Raw genomic sequence first — 19,208 nt, 5'->3', positions numbered from 1 at the left:
TTCCATTCTCTGAGTTGTCTTTTTACTTTCTTTTCTTGATAGCATCACACAGGTAATTCACCATTGGACACCAACTGGGTGTCCTATAGTTTAGCTTGGTTCTGATACTAAGCAGAGTTAGTGCAGCCCCTACAGGTTAAGGGCTCAGTCCCACAAGACCGCTCCCCACTTCATATACCAATCTCAAGCCCTGTGTTATGACCTGTGTTTCTGAGTGATCAACTATAAACTGGGGTTCCCAAGACCGCTTCCTTGGGTTTGATTAATGTTTAACATGGCTCACAGAATTCACGGAAACACTTCACTTGTGTTTACCCATTATAAAGGATGCAGATGAACAGCCACATGAAAGAAACATAGGGCCAGATGTGTGGGCAGGGGCATGGAGCGTCCATGCTCTCTCCAGGGGCACCACCCCTGAGGCACCTTCATCTACTCAGCAGTCCAGAAGCCCTCTGAATCCAGTAGTTCACGGATTTTTTGGAGGCTTCATCATGTAGGCATAATCAATTATTAACTCAATCTTCACCCCCTCTGTCCTTCCTGGAGTGGGGTGGGTAGAGCTAACAGTTCCAAGCTGCTAATCACAGCTTCGTCTCTCTGGTGCCCAGCCCCCATCCAGGAACCACCAAGAGTAGCCTTAGAACAAAAAGTGCTCCTATCCAGGAAATTCCAAGGGTTTAGGAGCTCCATGTCAGGAACCAGGATCAAAAACCAAATATTAGAAGAAAAGATGCTCCTAGCACCCCTAATTGCTCAGGAATTTACACGGGTTTTAGGAGGTCTGTGCCAGGAATCAGGGATGAAGACTAAAATATGTATTTCTTACTCTAAATCACAGTACGTTGTATACATACAATAGAGTGTTGTATTTTCTTTGCTGAGATGATAGGGGGATGTTTTGCAGTGTGTTAACTGTTGAAAGAAGGGAAACATTTTGTTAAAGAAGTGCCATCCAATGAGTGACGCAGAAGACTTGAGTTTTGACTCAGAGCTTCGATAACCTGGGAAAATCACCTTTCTTACTCTAGACTTTTAGTCCCTTCAGTGGGTGTTTTCCCCAGTTACTTTTTTGGCGGCAAGGTGGGTGTTAATTTCAAGTTTATTAAGTTTTTTACTTTTCTTTTTGAGACGAAGTTTCGCTCTTATCGCCCAGGCTAAAGTACAATGGCATGATCTCAGCCCACTGCAACCTCTGCCTCCCAGATTCAAGTGATTCTCCTGCCACAGCCTCCCGAGTAGCTGGGACTACAGGCGCCCACCACCATGCCCGGCTAATTTTTGTATTTTTAGTAGAGACGGGGTTTTGCCATGTTGGCCAGGCTGGTTTCAAACTCCCGACCTCAGGTGATCCACCCACCTCAGCCTCCCAAAGTGCTGGGATTACAGACGTGAGCCACCGCGCCCAGCGTTTTTTACTTTTTTTAATGGACAGTAATTGTAGATATGGGGTGCTCAGTAATGTTTCAATATATATATAAAATGATCAGACCTAGGTAATTAGCAAATCCATCGTCTCAAACAACATGTCTGTGTTGGGAACATTTGGTATCTTCTAGTCATTTGAAACTATACAATATAATGTTGTTAACTGTGGTTATCCTACAGTGATACAGAATACTAGAACTTATTTCTCCCATCTAGATGTAATTTTGTATTCTTTAACAAATCTCTACTTATCTCTTCCTTTCCTTTCCCCTTCCTGGCCTCTAGTATCCTCTGTTCTACTTTTTAATACTTCCGTAAGATCAGCTTTTTAAATTTCCACATGAGCGAGAACATGCAGCTTTTAACTTTCCGTGCCTGGCTTATTTCACTTGACATAATGTCCTCTAGTTACTTGAGCATTAGATGTATCTAAGACCATCACCCAGGCAGCCCCCATAATGCCTGTGGTCACGTTTGAGGAAAAGTGGTGAGAGAAGGCAGCAAGTAGCATGGTGCTTGTCATGTGCATGCCCCCTCTCTGTGCTTCCCCAGGAGAGAAGCAGGGCTGTCCACGGAGGCAGCCACGCTGTCCATAGGAGGCGGGGTTTGATTTGAATTTGATGGGAAGGGGAAGAGGGCGTGGCTGACTGCATGATGGGAACAGGCGTGAGGCATAACATACACAGAGCAGGGCCAACAGACTTGGATCAGGTCTCAGAATTCATCCTGCCCCCCCCTTCCTTCCAGCGCAGCAGTTGCTTGCAGCTCCTGACTTTTGTTTAAGCATATGTCTCCATTCCTTTCACATCCTTCTTGCCCTTACCTCCCCCTTCCCTCTTTTCTCTCCAAGCTTCTGTAGGAGAAACAGTTAAAAAGAACAAGAGAGGTAGAGAAGATAATGCTGATGCCAGTTAGACTATTACAAAAGTGTGTGTATTCACACGTACATGTGGACTGAAAGGCAGCTTGATGGCCAAGGCACTATTTGATCAACGGAAAGATAGGGAATCAGAAACAGAGTGCCAGGTGTGGTGGCTCACACCTGTAATCCCAGCACTTTCGGAGGCTGAGGTGGGAGGATTGCTTGAGCCCAGGAGTTCGAGACCAGCCTGGCCAACATGGTGAAACCCTGTCTCTACAAAAAATACAAAAAATTAGCCAGGCGTGGTGGCCCTTGTCTGTAGTCCCAGCTACCCAGGGAGGCTGAGATGGAAGGACCCAGGAGGGGCTGCATGACCCTCAGTTGGGCCACTGCACTCCAGCCTGGGCAACAGAGTGAGACCCTATCTCAAAACAAAAATGAAGTAGCCTTGAAATGTCAGTTCAGGGAGTTTGGGTTTTAGTCCATCCCTTCTGTTCTCTTTTTTCCTCCAAATGTTTTCATGTTGAGTCTAAGGTGTAATTTACCCTGGGTCATGGTCTGCCATATTCTGTAGTACAGCTGTTAAATCCTTCTCTTTCAAGAGCTAACCAGTTGGGCCAGGCACGGTGGCTCACACCTGTAATCCCATCACTTTGGGAGGCCGAAGTGGGCGGATCACAAGGTCAGGAGATTGAGACCAGCCTGGCCAACATGGTGAAACCCTGTCACTACTAAAATATGAAAAATTAGCCAGGTGTGGTGGCGCGTGCCTGTAGTCCCAGCTACTTGGGAGGCTGAGGTAGGGGAATCGCTTGAACCCGGGAGGTGGAGGTTGCAGTGAGCTGAGATCACGCCACTGCACTCCAGCCTGGCAACAGAGCGAGACTCTGTCTCAAAAGAAAAAGAAAGAGAGCTAACCAGTTAACTAGGTATGGTGGTTCACACCTGTAATCTCAGGTACTCGGGAGGCTGAGGCTAGAGGATCACTTGAGGCCAGGAGTTCAAGTTCAGCCTGGATAACATAGCAAGAACAGGTCTGTTCAAATAAAAATAAGTTTTTAAAAGAGCCAACCAGTTGCCTTTTCTCATTTTCATTACCTCTAGTTACATCGTAATATTGTGTTTTCTTCCCTGTAGTCTAGTGGCCAGGAAAGAGGGGGAGCAGTAATATAAAGTTTTGTTTCTAGTTGAAAAAAATGGCTTTTTTTTTTTGTTTTTTGAGACAGAGTCTCGCTGTGTTGCCCCGACTGGAGTGCAGTGGCGCGATCTCGGCTCACTGCAAGCTCCGCCTCCCGGGTTCACGCCATTCTCCTGCCTCAGCCGCCCCAGCAGCTGGGACTACAGGCGCCCGCCGCCACGCCCGGCTAATTTTTTCTGTTTTTAGTAGAGACGGGGTTTCACCGTGTTAGCCGGGATGGTCTCGATCTCCTGACCTTGTGATCTGCCCACCTTGGCCCCCCAAAGTGCTGGGATTACAGGCGTGAGCCACCGCGCCTGGCCAAGAAAATGGCTTTTAAGTGAAAAAAAAAAAAATTTTTTTTGAGACAGGGTCTCACTGTGTTGCCCAGGCTGGACTCAAACTCTTAGGCTCAAGCGATCCTCCCAACTAGCTGGGAATACAGGCATGTACCATTATGCCCAGCTATATATGAGGATTTTTAAGTATTAAGTTTTTTTATGGTTGATTGTTAGTTTTATATTGGGAATACTGTGAGTTTTGGCTCTCCCAGTTCGCAGCTGGGTAAGAAGTGGTCCCCCACTGAGGCTGTGTTCAGGGACACATTAGGGTGTGCTGACAGGCCGGTGCCACATCCCACCCGAGCACACTTCAGCAAGGGCCCCCCTGGAGGCTGCCCCCGTTCTGCTGATAGCCTGCCTTCTGGTCCAGCTTCTAAGATGTCAAGCAGCAAAGCTCAGCCTAACATACTGCAATGATGGAAACGCTCTAGCTCAGCACTCTCCAATGTGGTAACCACAAACCAGATGTGATCATTGAGTGCTAGTGGGACTGAGGAAATGAATTTTTTTTTTTAATGTAAACTTAAGTGGCCATGTATGGCTAGTGGCTGAACAGCACAGGCTTAGAGCTACCCTCCTCAACCCAAGTTCAGGCAATATGGTTGGGATTTTTTGGAAGGGGCCATAGAGCACTGGAACATCCTCTCCTCTAGTGGAAGCTTGTGCCCAGGTTGTCACCCCAGCCCACCAGCAGAGAAGCGCAGGACCCTCATTATTAGCTGAGGACTTGTGAGTAAATGGTGTCTGTCATTTTCTGTTTTGGGGCCCATCTTGGTAGCCTGCCTAGTTAAGCTGGTAGCATCTCTATTTAACAGAAGTTGGTGGCCGCGTGTCCAGCAAGACAGAGGGGTCTGGGTTGGGAGGAGTGAGGGTAGGGCTGTCGGCCTCTGGCTTTGCTGCCTCTGCTGCTGTGCACTTTGCTCCTTCATGTGGAGACCTGGGACCCAGAGGCAGTTTCACAAGATGACCATGTCTTGGTCATTGCGGTCTTTTTGATGACCCAAGTCACAGTGACCCAGAGGCCTGCACTGCTCTGTGGGGATGGACGCTTGTATTATTCCACACAGTCTTCTTGGAAATTGCTCTCTGTGTATGATGTAACTTTGTATCCAGGAAACAAGTTTATTGATGGACTTTTCTTTCTAATCATAACAAAAATAAGTCCTTGGTTTGAGAATCCCTAACCTCCCTTATGGAGTAAAGAGCAGTTTAACATTTTCATCTCTGCCTTGCTGTCAACCCACCCAGATCTTTAAAGAGCTGTTGATGTCTCAGGGAAGACTTTTATTACTGGGACATCTCCATAGAAACAGAATCTTTGTTTCATGATCTGTGACTCCTGCCACCTTCCCCCCCACCTGATGTTGACCCTGCATTTCTGACATCATGGTCAGCTGTTTTGTGTTGCTTGTTATGTCATAGGCACAGGATTTGGCTCCAGGTGGGGGGGGTTACAGTAATAAGAGCATGAGCTCTGTTTTTTTTTTTTTTTAATTAATGTATTTAATGCAATGAGCCACAACAATTAAGACGAGAAAAAAAGGCTGTGGTAGCTCATTAATAATTCCACTGTGCGTAAAGAACCTTGTGTGGAGGGTTTTTTTTTTTTCTTCTACTCTCATGAAAAAACAGCTGGGAATTCTACTTTCTGCAGCTCTCGTTGCAGTAGCATTTTAAAGCTGCTATCTCTGCTGCAGACTTTGATCTTGCTGGTGCCATCAGAGCCCTGGATGGGTCATTAGGAAATGCCAGTAGTCTGACTCCTCCCCGGGGGACAGCCGTCTGCCTCACAGGAGCCAGTCCCAGTGCCAAGAGCCCCATATTTCCCTCCTTATGGCCCAGGAGCCTGAGCCTACCCTTCGGCAAGGCAGGGTGGGGCTGGCAGGCCCCTGTGTCCCAAGCCCTGCAGTGTGCCAACATAAGGAATAACAGTAGTACTGGGGTAGAGTGTAGGTGAATTGGAGTCTGTGTCTGCTACACAACAGATCCAAAGGACATTAAACCCTTCTTGTTTTTCCTACCTCCCTCCTTGAGCCCACCATCCTCAGCCTGGGAGCATGTGGATGCATGTGGGTATCTGAAGCTTCACAGAGCTTATAATGAGGAGCTTAGTAAATCCATTCTGCCTTTGAGCTTGAAGAGGGAAATGAAAGTGGCCTTCTCTTCTGGGGGTTGATGTTTGTGTCTGCAAGCCATCTTGTTGACTAGGCCACCTTGTAGGTCTTTTTGAGCTTGGATGATGATCTCGCAAGCTGTTTACTTTGACTTCACTATGCAGAAGTGCTGACTGCGCCCTCTGGACAGTGTAGGATGGTGCCTGGGCCTTGAAGAACACAGATTGAGAGACCTTGACTGGCTGGCCATGTAGGTGCAGTTGCCTGTTCAGAGTCCTCAGAAGAGGTTTTACTACACCTACTGCTCTTCACTCTTCCCTCCCAGCAGGGACTGGTAAGAGGAGAAGCTCCCCTGTGCCCTCCAGGTTTCTGAGCTCTCTAGCTGTGGTTCTGGCCCCTGCCAGGAACGTGAATTGTGCTTCCTGACGGCCTGTGGACATGTATGAGAACAGAGGAGGGCATTGTCTGCACAGTGTTCCTGCATGGGAGGCCTTGTCAGAGATGGACACTGCCTCAGGCAGATTGCTGTAGGAGACTTCATTTCCAGATGTATCTGGCATTAGTTTCAAGTTGTCGTTAGCGTGCATTCATAGTGTCTTACTCTTTTCTGCTTCTAACTCAGAGGGAACGCATTTCCTAACATGAGGCGTGTTTTATTAATGGTCCATCACAGCTGGTCACTGTTCTGTGGCCGTGAGGGAACTGAGCCACCTGCGCCTTTCTGATGGCACCCTTTGCTGCTCGTGTGGTCCCTGTCCTCACTGGTATAAACCCCTGTGGCGTAAGCGTGGCCCAGCCCCACGTGTGCTGTACTGTTTCTGTTTGGCCCAAACTAGAGACTAAGCCAGCATAGTGCTTGCTGCCAGAGCCCAGGTAAGAAGAGAGCATATCCCCTGAGCTCCAGTTGTCTGGCTCCTGCTGTTTATAAACTCTCTGGCAGATTGGAGCAGCGGGAGTCTTGGTCACACTATGTACTTGTGGGTTTTAAATTAACACATTTCATTTATTGCCTTGCTAGTTGCTTGCTGGGGGAGGGGCTTGGAGGTTAGTAGTAAGTTGCTGAGCTCTTGGGCCCACGGAGCCAAGAAGGCTGCCGCCCACTCTCTTAGATACTCATGGGCTCCAACGAAAGACAGGCTATGATGTTCCAGGTCTGGCCAAATATAAAAGGGTCTTTTTGATTTGTTTTAGGATACCGGGACCTGAAAAGTTTTCATGTGTATGTTCATTGCTTATTACTATTGCACTTGAAATCTGTGGGTGCACAGGCTGCTAGTCTGGATCTCAGTTTAAATTTAACAAGGATAAGTACCGTGGCTGCCTCCTGCCATGGTGCCTGGGAGCTCTCTGAGAATGTGTTATCAATATTTATTAACATTCTGCCACCGCGTTTTGCACCAGTGACCTGGCTGTCGGTCTCCAGGAGCTGTGGTGTGCAGAGTGAACTCATTAATTAGATTTCCTTGCCCTGATCCATGCACTACCCTTGTGTGAGAGCTCAGCTCACCTGGAGGCAGATGTGTCCTTGCTGCCATCCAGGATGCTGTCATCATGTTACAAGTTGGAATGAATCATTTTTCCTCCAAGGATTAAAAGCATCCTCATGGGATTTTACCTTCCTCTGAAGCATTTAGTGTGGATTATGTGATTTGTGTTGGAGGCTTCTGTGTCTCCGTGGGTCGTGGGGCAAAGGTGACAGTGGGGCTCTTGGGCCTGGCCACCTTTCTGTCTCAGACACCTGGGCATTCTCTGTACAGAGAAGAAAATACGCGTCTAGATTTTAAAGTGTTTTTACAAGGAGGCTTTGGCTTGAGCCTGAGAAATGGGGTTAGCCTAGAATCAAGGATTTTTAAAATAGCATTTATTGGTGATATCGTGGGAATATAGAAAAGATAAAATTTAAATCAGCTGTATCTTCTTACCCAAAGAGAATTATTGTTACATATTCATAGATTTCCTTTCAGTCTTTTTTTTTTTTTTTTTTTTTTTTTTTTTGAGACGGAGTCTCGCTCTGTCACCAGGCTGGAGTGCAGTGGTGTGATCTCGGCTCACTGCAACCTCCGACTCTCTGGTTCAAGTGATTCTCCTGCCTCAGCCTCCCAAGTAGTTTTTTTTTTTTTTAAGACAGTTTTGCTTGCCTAGGCTATAGTGCAGTGATGTGATAGTAGCTTACTGCAGTCTGAACTCCTGGGCTCAAGCAGTCTTCTCACCTCAGCCTCCCAAGTAGCTGGGACTATAGGCAAGTGCCATCACACCCAGCCTTTCAGTATTTTTTTTTTTTTTTTTAATAGTGACAGGATCTCACTGTGTTGCCCAAGCTGGTCTTGACTCTTGGATTCAAGTGATCTTTCTGCCTCGGCCTCCCAAAGTGCTGGGATTACAGGTGTGAGCCATGGTACCCAGCCCCAAGTCTTTTTTTAATGCGTAGAAACATTTTAATAAAATTAGCACATTTATACATTTGTACATCCTGGTTTTTTCAAGCAGTTTTGTTTCATGGGTGTTTTCCATACCATTAACTCTTTTCAAATGTTAATTTTTAAGTGACCGATATCCATCATGTTAAGGTATCATAGCTTACTTGGGTTGTCTCTAATGTTTTCCTATTAGAAGTAAGTGTAGCGACCTGCTACCTTTATGTCTGACCCTGTCAATCCCAGCCAGCATGACCACACCTATGTCCAGCTGTGAAGTCTCCATCTGACTGTCCCCTTCTGTCTTCCAGATTGTTTGCTACATGAGGAGAACTTCTCGGTGAGGTGCCCTAAGCACAAGGTGAGTCAGAGGCCCCAAGAGCTACCAGCAGGGATGGGATCGAGGGTGGCTCCTCCTGAAAGACCTGAAGACCAGGTGTTGGTGGGCCTCACCCACACCTGTCCCCACCTGTGCCTCCGGCTGTTAGTCCCCTCCTGGCCCTGGGAGGGTGGAGGGGCATGATGCTGAAGGGAGACCCGTGGCATGGGGGCCAGCACTCGGAGTATTATGAGGATCCCAGGAGAAATGTGTTTTGGGAGAGGGGGTGTTTGTCTGTTCATTAAGAGAGGTGAGAATATCTAACTCGATCAAGCCACTGATTTCCACTTGAGGTGAATAGAACCCCAATTCACAGGTTGGCGTTTGGTAAGTCTGGTTCTAGGCCTTGAGGCCTGTGCAAAGGCATCTTCCCAGACTAGAAGTCGAGCTGACCACAAGGCTCTGGGGAAGCTCAGTCTCTTCCAGGTTGTGCTTCTGCAGAAGCAGCCTGATGCACAGTGGATGGGCTGTCTCGGGCTCCACTTCCCAGTTTATTTAGGAGGTGGTCTCGTGGTCGCTTCCTTTAGGAAAGGGTGGGAGGTAAGGGGTGAATGGTCTGTTTGTGGATACCACATATGTGTGTGGGGAGGGTGTATATGGAGAAGGAGCCCCAAGAAAGGATCAGAACGGAGACCACTGCCACCTGATGTTTCCTGCAGGGGCTGCACTGTGTCTCTGGCTGAGGTCACACTGACACCTGGTGGTCACTGGTCACTCGCAGTCTTAAATCTAGTAGGGCCGAAAGTACTAGAAGGAGGTTGTCCAGAGAGGTCTGCCCTCAAAATGCTCCTGAAAGATGCTTGCTTATGCTTTTCTTTAAAAATTATTTCTGGGGAAGGGCGGGGAGTGGTCACAGGATCTTATATTCTCTTTATTTTTACTTAATTTGCATGTTATTTTTAGAACTCCCCTTTTTAAGGGTCACATTTTGCCTCAGAAAACCCTGTCTGAATGTCTCCTGTTTGTCGGTCAGGACTGACTCTGCCTTTTCTTTCCTTTTCCATGTGCCACTCCTGTCCTCCCTTTGCCCTCCCTGATTTCTGCACTGTCCTCTCCCACCTGTCTGTCTCCTCTTGGTTTTGCCCGTGTCAGCCTCCCCTTCCGTGCCCTCTCCCCCCCTTGCAGAACAAGACCGCGAAAGGCAGCCTCAGCACAGAGCAGTCGGAGCGGGGGTGAGGGGGGCAGTGTGCTCGTGGGAATGGAAAGGACAGCAAGCACAGGTGAGTCGGGGCCACCGGGCTCCCTGCATCCTGCCCGGCTCCCAGCAGGCGTCGTTGCCTCTGCCCTCCTGCTCGCTCTATGCTCTGCCACCAGCATTTCATCCTGTGGATGACAACGCCAGGTGGATGCAGTGTTCTTCCATTGGTTACTTAGCTCCCCAGATTATCTGTGGAAAGGAGTGGGGGCTTCTAAACTGTCCACTGCCAATGGGGTGCAGGGTGACTGTTCCTGAAGGCAGCCCTTCAGGGCACAGCTGGCCAGGGGTGGCCTTGTGAGTGGACACAACAGGCTTTTAGGTCTCTTTCTTGGGCAGGGCATCTCTTGCCAGTAGCCCCTGCTCTTTCCCCCGTCTCAGAAAGGGTTCCAGTCAAAGGTCTCTTCTTTTTAATTTACTACATTTCTGTAAAGCTTATGGTGTGTTTTCCTTTGAAAACAACAGAACTCTTGGGTTTTGTTATTAGAAATCTTTTTTTTCCAGTATTATGAAGGATTCCTTTTTGCAGAAGTACAAAGGAAAGAAAAATCCTCAAAGATTTAGTAGACTCTAGCATCTGATTTAATTTTACTCTTAAAAATCTCGAGGCTGGGCATGGTGGCTCATACCTGTAATGCCAGCACTTTGGGAGGCTGAGGCAGAAGGATCGCCTAAGCCCAGGAGTTCAAGACCAGCCTGGGCAACAGTGAGACCCTGTGTCTACATTAAAAAAAAAAAAAAAAATTAGCCGTGCGTGGTGGTACATGCCTTTAGTCCCATCTACTCAGGAGGCTGAGCTGGGAGGATCACTTGATCAAACCTGGAGGTTGAGGCTGCAGTGAGCCATGATCGTGCCGCTACATTCCAGCCTGGGCCACAGTGAGACCCTGTCTCAAAAAAAGAAAAAAAATTCTTGTGATTGAGTTGTGCTTGCTGTGAGTTTGTGTGGGATTATTGTGGTCACGGCCCTCTTGGCAGGCATCTGTGAAAACAGGATGATAGGACTTGGGGTCTCTAGAAGCTGCAGGCCTCTGAGCTCCATGCTGCTCCTTCACCCTCCCTGCGTCACTGAGGCATGAAGGGAAATAGGTTGTAAAGAAAAGAAAAACCAAAATGTACCTTGTGGCACTTGCTGCTACAGGATGGGGCAGGAGGACTAGTTGTCTCAGAAATATTCATTGAGGGGTCATTTCTCTCAAATGGGAGGACTTCTGTGTCGACCTCAGGAGTTTGACTCACACAGCTACGCTAGACGTGTCCCTTCCGGCACCACCATGTGCCTGACCACCTTCTGGAACGTGCCCTCCTCCTTGTTACCACTACTAATTTCCGGAGAAGGCCCCTCGGCTGCCACGCCATTTGAGAAGTCAAGTGGGGGCTGCTGAGTGCCTTCTTGATAGAGCGTTGAGTGTGGTGCCTTTCTCTTTCCTCTTCCGGGGAGTAGGGCTGGCAGTGAAGGGATCAGAGCAAAGTGGGGAGGTGGGTGGAAGCCATTCCATGTGTTCCTGGGTCAGAGGAACCAGATGAGCAAATGAAGCCTCTTGGACTTGGAGTACATTGCCACCATCAGCGAGTGGCTGCTGGTTTTCCAGAACCTGCTGGGCAGCACTGCCTGCTCCTTTTCCTGGGATTAGCCCTTAGGACAAGGCAGCCATTGCATTGCGTGGTTTTGAAAGGACTGTTTCTGTTGGCCCTCCTGCATGTCCCTACGCTCCTGAGGGTGTCACTGTGCCTTCCCATTGTCACCCCTGTGCCAGCACAGGCCAAGATGGTTAGAGTCAAGTTCTGTAGGGGACCACGATGCGTATTCCTGGAATGTGTCCTAGAAGACCTGGTTAAGGAAAGAGCTTAAGTGTTTTTTGTTTTTGTCCTGGAATTGCATCTGTGTTTGAGAAAAAGAAAGTTCAGGCCCTGGGCCTGGTGGACAAATCTCCTGGGGATTTTGTTCATCTGTTCCTCTCTAGTCATTCTTGGGCCTTCCTTCCTAGCTGTCAGGGCCCTTGACTCTTTTTTTTTTTTTTTTTGGAGACGGATTCTCACTTTGTCGCCCAGGCTGGAGTACAGGGGCACGATCTCGGCTCACTGCAACCTCCATCTCTGGGGTTCAGGCGATTCTCCCGCCTCAGCCCTCCCGAGTAGCTGGGACTACAGGTGTGCACCACCACGCCCAGCTAATTTTTGTATTTTTTGTAGAGATGGGGTTTCACCATGTTGCCCAGGCTGGCCTTGAACTCCTGACATCAAGTGATCTTCCCGCCTTGACCTCTCAAAGTGCCGGGATTACAGGCGTGAGCCACGGCGCCCGGCCAACTCTTGAACAGAACAATGAGCTTCATCCTTCTGGGTTGAAGCACAGTGATGAAGTGGCCTCACCCATTGAAGAGAGTCGTCTCAGGTCCATTGAGGTTGAACCATTCCATTCAGCTCTTGGAGGGAGAGGATGGACTCACTGCATCCAGTCCTGTCCATCTGAAATGTTTTTTATGTGCTGTTCCCACAAGGCATATAGCTTTTCCTGGTTTCCCAGTTCAGCAGTGACATTGAGGGTGGTCACCGTCCTTCATTTGTGGTAGAAGCCCTGGTGACTGGGGATAGAATCACACCTCTGACTAAAGGAGGACTCATCTTGGGCCCCATGCTGGGGACAGAGAGCCACCATTATTGGGTGCCCTGACAAGGCAGGGAACAGACAGCGAATGTGCGTGTGTGTCTGCCTCCTAGTGCGCCATGTTCTGACAGAGTGATATGATAGGTGCTGTGTGACTAAGATCAGACTACTCCATGTCTCTGTACTTCGGTTTCTTCTGTAAAAACAGGAATAGCAGTGCCAACCTTTTGAGATTCCATTGGGAAATGTCTCTAAGTGCCAGCACAGCACACTGGCTCTCAGCCCGTTGATCTGCCATGCCTAGCTGTGGGTTTCTCTTGGGAGTTGGAGGGGTCAAGGCAGCAGATTGGACCCTGCAGCTGTCTCTTATAGCAAAAAATACCCAAGGCTTGGGGTTAAAAGATGCCGCCCCTGCCTCCCAGCCTGTGAGGTATCTGGTACCTGACCCTCGCCAGGAGTGCGGAGGGGAAAAGTCCTTCTGCAGGCCCGTGGTTGCCCACTGTCTCTTTGTGCCAAGGGGGTTGCCTTGCTGGCTTGTGTCATTGGTTGGCAGGGCTTTTGACAGTGGAGTCCCTATACCCAGCTCTTCCTCCTGTCGTGAATTAAACAAGGAGGCCCCAGCTTGCCCTAACAGGCCCTGTGGTCCAGCACATGGGAAGCATAACCTTGATCAGGGCTAATGCTGCATCCTGGATGCTATGTACCCTGCACAGAACAGCCATGGATGGACGCTGAGCAAGGCAGGGAACGGGGCGTGGCCCCCCTGCCCCTGGAGCTGGACATCACACAGTCCATTTGTGTGTATGCATGAATGTCACATTCTAGAGTTCCCCTTTCCCCAAACTGGTCCAGAGGCAGTCCAGGGTTACACCTCCAGAGGAGAGCCTGAGTCTGTCCACTTTCCTTCCCCACCAGCCCCAGCCCAGGCATTGTGGCTGCTATAGTGCCCGCCTCCCTGCCACTGCTCAGCAGCCAAGTGCAATCTTCATTAGGCCTCCCTCCAGTCCTGTCCCTTCTCTACGTCAGAGATTCTTGTCATCTTCCACACAAAGCCCAGACATCTCACCTTGCCTTCCAGAGCCCTATGGAAGTCTCAGGTGACTCTCCAGGCCCCTGGCTGCCTCCAGCTCCTCAGGGACCAGGCTTCCTTCCTCTGGGCTTCTGCACACACAGTTCCTTGTGCTGGAAACACTTTGGCTCCCCATCTTCATGTTGAAAACAGGCTCCCATCTCCTGGGTCTCAGCTTAAATCCTACTTCCTCAGAGAAGCCTTTCCCTTTCTAAATCCTTGTCTCCATTGCCCCCCTCCTCGCTTGCAGCCATCCTAGCATCACCACAATTTCAGATCATTTACTTGTTTACTACCTGTCTCTCCACTAGACTGTAAGCTCCATTAGGGCAGGGACCACGTCTGTCTTTGCACCATCAAAGCCTAGCCCAGAGCGGGGCATGTAACTATGCTAGTGCCAAGTGAGTCTGTGTTAAAGAAATGAGTGCATCCCAGGCCGGGCACAGTGGCTAACGCCTATAATCCCAGCACTTTGGGAGGCGGGCAGATCACGAGGTCAGGAGATCGAGACCATCCTGGCTAACAATACAAAAATACAAAAAATTAAAACACTAAAATACTAAAAATACAAAAAATTAGCCGGGCGTGGTGGTGGGCGCCTGTAGTCCCAGCTACTCGGGAGACTGAGGCAGGAGAATGGCATGAACCCGGGACGTGGAGCTTGCAGTGAGCTGAGATCGTGCCACTGCACTCCAGCCTGGACGACAGAGTGAGACTCCATCTCAAAAAAAAAAAAAAAAAAAAGAAAGAAATGAGTGCATCCCAGGGAAAAAAGGGCTCTTGGACCCTGACCATCGGTGCCCTTAATCAGTATAGATTCAGAATTAGGTTTCCCTTCATATCCTCCCTCTCTAGTCGGAATTAGTGTCTGTTTTAGAAATGAGGAAATGGGCTCTGGGCGAATCCTGGCCAGGGTGAGTGGTGTTGAGATGATGAGTTTTTGCTGCAGTTGGGAAAGGCAGGCTTGGAGTCTGATGTGGAAGGACGCGAGGATGGCGTCCCGGGTTCAGGCCACGGATGAGGCCAAAGGGGAGCAGAAAGGACAGTGTGAGCGAGAAGGGAAGGGAGGGAACAAGTGAGGGAGCCTGGGAAGGTGTTGGCCCAAGACGAAACCCTGGATGCTGGCAGCTGGGGAGCAAGGTGATGTTCTTTAAAAGAGAATTCACAGTCTTCAGCACAGGGGCGGCAGGTCGCTCCTGCTGCTCAGGCTGGCTGGCACCAGGGCTGCTCCCAGGCTCACTGTCGGGGACCCAGCCGTCTCTCAGCCACACCCCATGCCCTAGCATACGCAGCCCCTAGGGCCCAGTTGGGAAAGCCCCAGTCCCACCTCTGGCCACGTCGCTTTGGGCTACATGTGTCGCCTTCCTGAGCTTTAGCTCTCTTGAAGATGGGGGTCAGGCAGATCCACGTTACTGTGATATAATATCTGTAAAGCTTCTAGCCCAGGGCCTGGCACATAGTGCTTAGAGAATTTTCCTTCCTTCCTAATTTCCCTACTGAAGGAACAACTTTTTTAAAGTAACTCTTGAAAAGTTAGGGTCCCATTACATTCAGGATATCGTGTGTTTGGGCTGGTCTAGTCATCAGACCTGAGGAACACGAAGGCTATAGAGGGCAGAGCCCCAGGCTGCAGGTGCTGAGGAACTGCCGCTGCCTGGGCCACCACGCGCCCCAGGGAGGGGCCCACAAGTAGCAGCTCGCAGAGCCAACTGGCCAGGCAGACCCTGGCTGCTGACATGTGCTTCATTCTTCACTGGGGAGCTGGTGTGGGGTCCTGTTCTTCTGAGTAATGAGCAAGATTGGGGTGCAGGCCCAAGACTGCTGTGTATTGGTAAAGAGGGCAAACCCTGCCCTGTCCCCTCCTTGAGCAGAGCCTGGCAGGGTACGTGTGGGCATTGGCCTTGATTCACACGGGCATCCTGCAGCCCCAACAAGATGACACCCTTCTGTGTTCTTGGAGGTAGGTGCCCATTAGCTCAACTGCTGGCCTGCATTCCCAGGGCTTGCTTTTACTTGTCTGTGGTGATGTTGTGCCATGGCCTCTGTGTGTGTTCCTGCTTATTGGTGTTTTCTGCCAAGTAGTCAGGAACCTCCTTGGGCAAGAGCATGTGCATGTACGTGCTTGGGAACAGCTCAATCTTAGCTCCCGCAGGCCCCAGCCGCCTTAGCAGTTCTGCGTGTGTGAACTTTATGGAAGCAGAAAGGGCTGGTGACACTTGGGTTCTTGGGGTTTGTCAGGGGAGGGCACCAAATTGGTCTTGAGGAAGCAGTTAGGTGAGCCCCAGTGACAGTCTTAAGCACAGTGATTGGCAGATAGCAAGTGAAGGAGGGGCAAGGCTGCCACCACTTCTGGCTTCTGGTGAAATTTTACTGGACTGATTCCTAGGAAACTGCTGTTTGTCTTTGAGACCTTTCCACATCAGATGGCCCATGAAGCGTTCCACAGGGACCTTTGGTACAATCCATCTGTCCTACGTGGGCCATCAGAATCCCCTTCTGCACATGGGCTGGAAGAGGAGAGAAGCCCTCCAGCCTGGGGATGGGAGACCTAGGGGTCTCAGGTTCCTGAGAGGTCGAAAGGATTAACATAGTCCAGCTCTGTCTGAGCCTCAGAAAACCTGCCCTCCCTGTTAGAGGCCATGGGAAGAGTGTTCTTTTTAAGCATGAAGAACTGACTGTGGGCCAGGTGTAGTGGCTCACGCCTGTAATCCCAACACTTTGGGAGGCCGAGGTGGGCAGATCAGCTGGGGCCAGGAGTTCTAGACCAGCCTAACATGGCAAAACCACATCTCTCCTAAAAATACAAAAATTAGCCGGGTGTGGTGGCGTGCACCTGTGATCCCAGCTATTTGGGAGGCTGAGGCACAAGAATCACTTGAACCCAGGGGGCAGAGGCTGCAGTGAGCCAAGAGCACACCACTACACTCCAGTCTGGGCAATAGAGCAAGACTGTCTCAAAAAAAAAAAAAAAAAAAAAAAAAAAAGACTGTCATTAGCCAAGCATGGTGGCGTGTACCTGTAGTCCCAGCTACTTGGAAGGCTGAGGTGGGAGGATTGCTTGAGCCCAGGAGGTCAAGGCTGCAGGGAGCCAAGGCGACAGAGCGATGTCTTGTCTCAAAAACAAACAACTAGCTGTGTTGACTAGAGGCAGCTGTGAAACTGTCCTAAAAGGCTGGACTTCGAGAAGTTTCTTCCACAGATTGACCAGGTACTGTAGGTTTCAGTCACAACTGGGGTCCTGACACTGGCAAAACCCCACCAGCTGCCCCACAAGTGGGGCCTGCCCTGAGGTCAGGGAGTTCTCTGCTGTACTGGTTCCTTTATGCACTAGGAAGGCAGACATGCCCTGAGGAGCCCTCAGAGTCCAACCCCAGCACCCCCACTAGGTCATTGCTGCCTTTAATCACATTCCAGATCCAGAGCCACACAGTGGCCCTGGCATTGGTCTCGGGTGTGTCCCATATCAGCAGCACATCTGCAGAGGGGCGTGAGTGCAGGCTCCCTGCTGAAAGCTCCCAGGGGTACCACGGAACAGCGGCTGTTGGTGGTGGACCCTGTGGAGGCTCCTGGCCTTCACTGTGTGTCCCTTGTCTTCCAGGTGAGACTGTGGAGATGAGAAGGTGGTGGACACTCGTGATGGAATGGAAATCGTCCTACCGTGCAGCCACACCCTGCCCTGCCCCGCCCCGCCCCGCCCGCGTGCCTGCCCATGCCAGCACTTCCTTAAGTTCTCACATCACACTCAAACCAGTGACACCACAGGAAAGAAAGACCCAAGACGTTGGAATGGCTGTTTCCATGGACACAATCTCCATAGTGACAATGTGGGGGGAGGGGGGAGGGGTGGGATGATGGGGAAAGGGTGGGGGGAATTAAAAGGGAGGGATAAATATATATATATAAATCTATTTTTAGTCTGGAAAGACTTTGTTTAAATGAAAGGTGCGCTATCCCTTTTGATTCTGTTTTAAAATTATCTCGTTAAAGATCTCCAAATTTGTTCCGATGACAAGTGAAATTTAAATGTGAGATTGAACTGAACAAACCCTCATCTCATGAAGGACGGGGTGTGTGTGTGGCGTTGATCTTTAGCCTGTCTCACACCAGTTCAGAAAACACTAGACCCAGGATTGAAAAAGCAAACCACAGCAGAACCATCCTTTTGTCATTAATTTGTCTCAAAGTGGGAAGGTTTTGGGGGAGGGGGAAATACAGGGATGGTCCATGTTTTCAAGAGTAGGGGAATGATGTTTAAACACAAAAATAAATTTTTTTTCATTTCCAGAAACACTATTTATTTATGGTTTTTTTTTTTTAATTTTTTCTTTTTGGGGGTGAAATTGGCAGATGCCTGAGGTCATAGCTGTGTCCTGGGTCACTGTGGCTGGTGAGGACCTCAAGGACCCCATCAAGTGTACACAGCAGCAGCAAAATCAAGGGATGACCCTCCTCTGGGGCCCCCTGTCCTCAGCACATTCCAGGCAGCTGTGCCCTGACCCACAGGGACCCGTGGGGATGGGAGGAGGTCCAGGCCTGTGTTGCCAGAGCTGGCAGTGTGAGCTGTAGGCAGGGACGGGGAGGGACTGTCGCTGTGATCAGAGTGGGTTAAGCTGACCAGGAACACCCATTTAACCCCTTTTTCTTTTTGCTTTCATTTTTATAAAGGAAAAGAGGACCTGTCAGATAGGCAGCCCCATGCTACGTGATTCTTTATGTTGTGTTGTTTTGTTTTGTAAATTGTATAATTTTTAAATATCTGAGTTTTAAAAAAAGAAAAAAGTACAAAAAAATCTTGTTATGGCCTTAAGAAGGGGTTAGTGCATCTTTCAGGGGTCACTCTGCCATGGGGATAAAATAGCTGTTTCACAAACAGTTTTATTTAAAAAAACAAAAAACAAAAAAAATCAAAAAATCAAAAAAATAATAAACTTCATTTTAACCTTGTTTCCTCTTCTGTTTACTTTAAAGTGAATGCGTCTCTTCCTTCTCCCATTCTAACCCCCAAAGGGTAGCTCTGGTTCTCCAGAGGAGGCCATGATCAGAACCTGTCTGTCCCATTCCTGGCCTCTCGATGGCCACGCAGCCGGGAAGCAAACAAAATATAGGGTTCTTCTGCCACTCCTCTGGGCAGGTGGAGTGTGGCCAGTGTATGGGGACAGTCAGATTTACTCAAGTTGATATGAAGACATATTTCCAATCAACATTAAGGGTTATAAAAAAATAATGGAATGTTAATGGACTTTTTTAGAGAATGGAAATACTGGAAGGAATATTGTGAAGCAGAAATAAGCAATTATAAATGAGTTCTGTGTTCATCAATTTGGGGCAGCAGAAATGGCAGATTAATTGTATTTTAATGGCTACATCAAGCAGTCCATTTCTCATTTCACTCCGCCAGGATGGAGGTGTGGGTGGGTGCGCCGTGCCGGCCGTAGGACCAAGCTTAGGCAACTGAACAGGACCTGCACAGAAATGATGGCTTTTTTGAGCTAGTTGTTGTCTCATTCTGGTCTTGACTTGGCATTAATACAGTTAAAATGAAATGGATAGACTTCAGGTGTCAAGGGCTAAACCACAAAACTTGAAAAATATGTATCTTGAGGAAAATATTTTCCTGACAG

The 19,208-nt window shown here is 49.1% G+C and overlaps 1 protein-coding gene across 10 annotated transcripts in view; it reads left to right on the top strand.

The window, feature by feature from the left end:
* Positions 1-18,531, top strand: part of TCF20 (transcription factor 20) — a 183,525-nt gene extending 164,994 nt beyond the window's left edge. For 5 of the 10 annotated variants that reach the window (XM_047441474.1, NM_005650.4, NM_001378418.1 and 2 more), the window contains 3 exons: positions 8,648-8,697; positions 9,808-9,935; positions 17,186-18,531. In XM_047441474.1, the coding sequence (XP_047297430.1) occupies positions 8,648-8,697; positions 9,808-9,891 (134 nt within the window). In that variant the 3' untranslated portion in view covers positions 9,892-9,935; positions 17,186-18,531. The remainder of the gene's footprint in view (positions 1-8,647; positions 8,698-9,807; positions 9,936-17,185) is intronic. The other 5 variants (XM_047441476.1, NM_181492.3, XM_047441478.1 and 2 more) reach the window with 2 other exon arrangements.

This window comes from Homo sapiens, chromosome 22 (genome assembly GCF_000001405.40).
Source record: "Homo sapiens chromosome 22, GRCh38.p14 Primary Assembly".
In the NCBI taxonomy this organism is placed as follows: Eukaryota; Metazoa; Chordata; class Mammalia; order Primates; family Hominidae; genus Homo; species Homo sapiens.
This window is presented reverse-complemented; position numbering and strand designations above follow the sequence as displayed.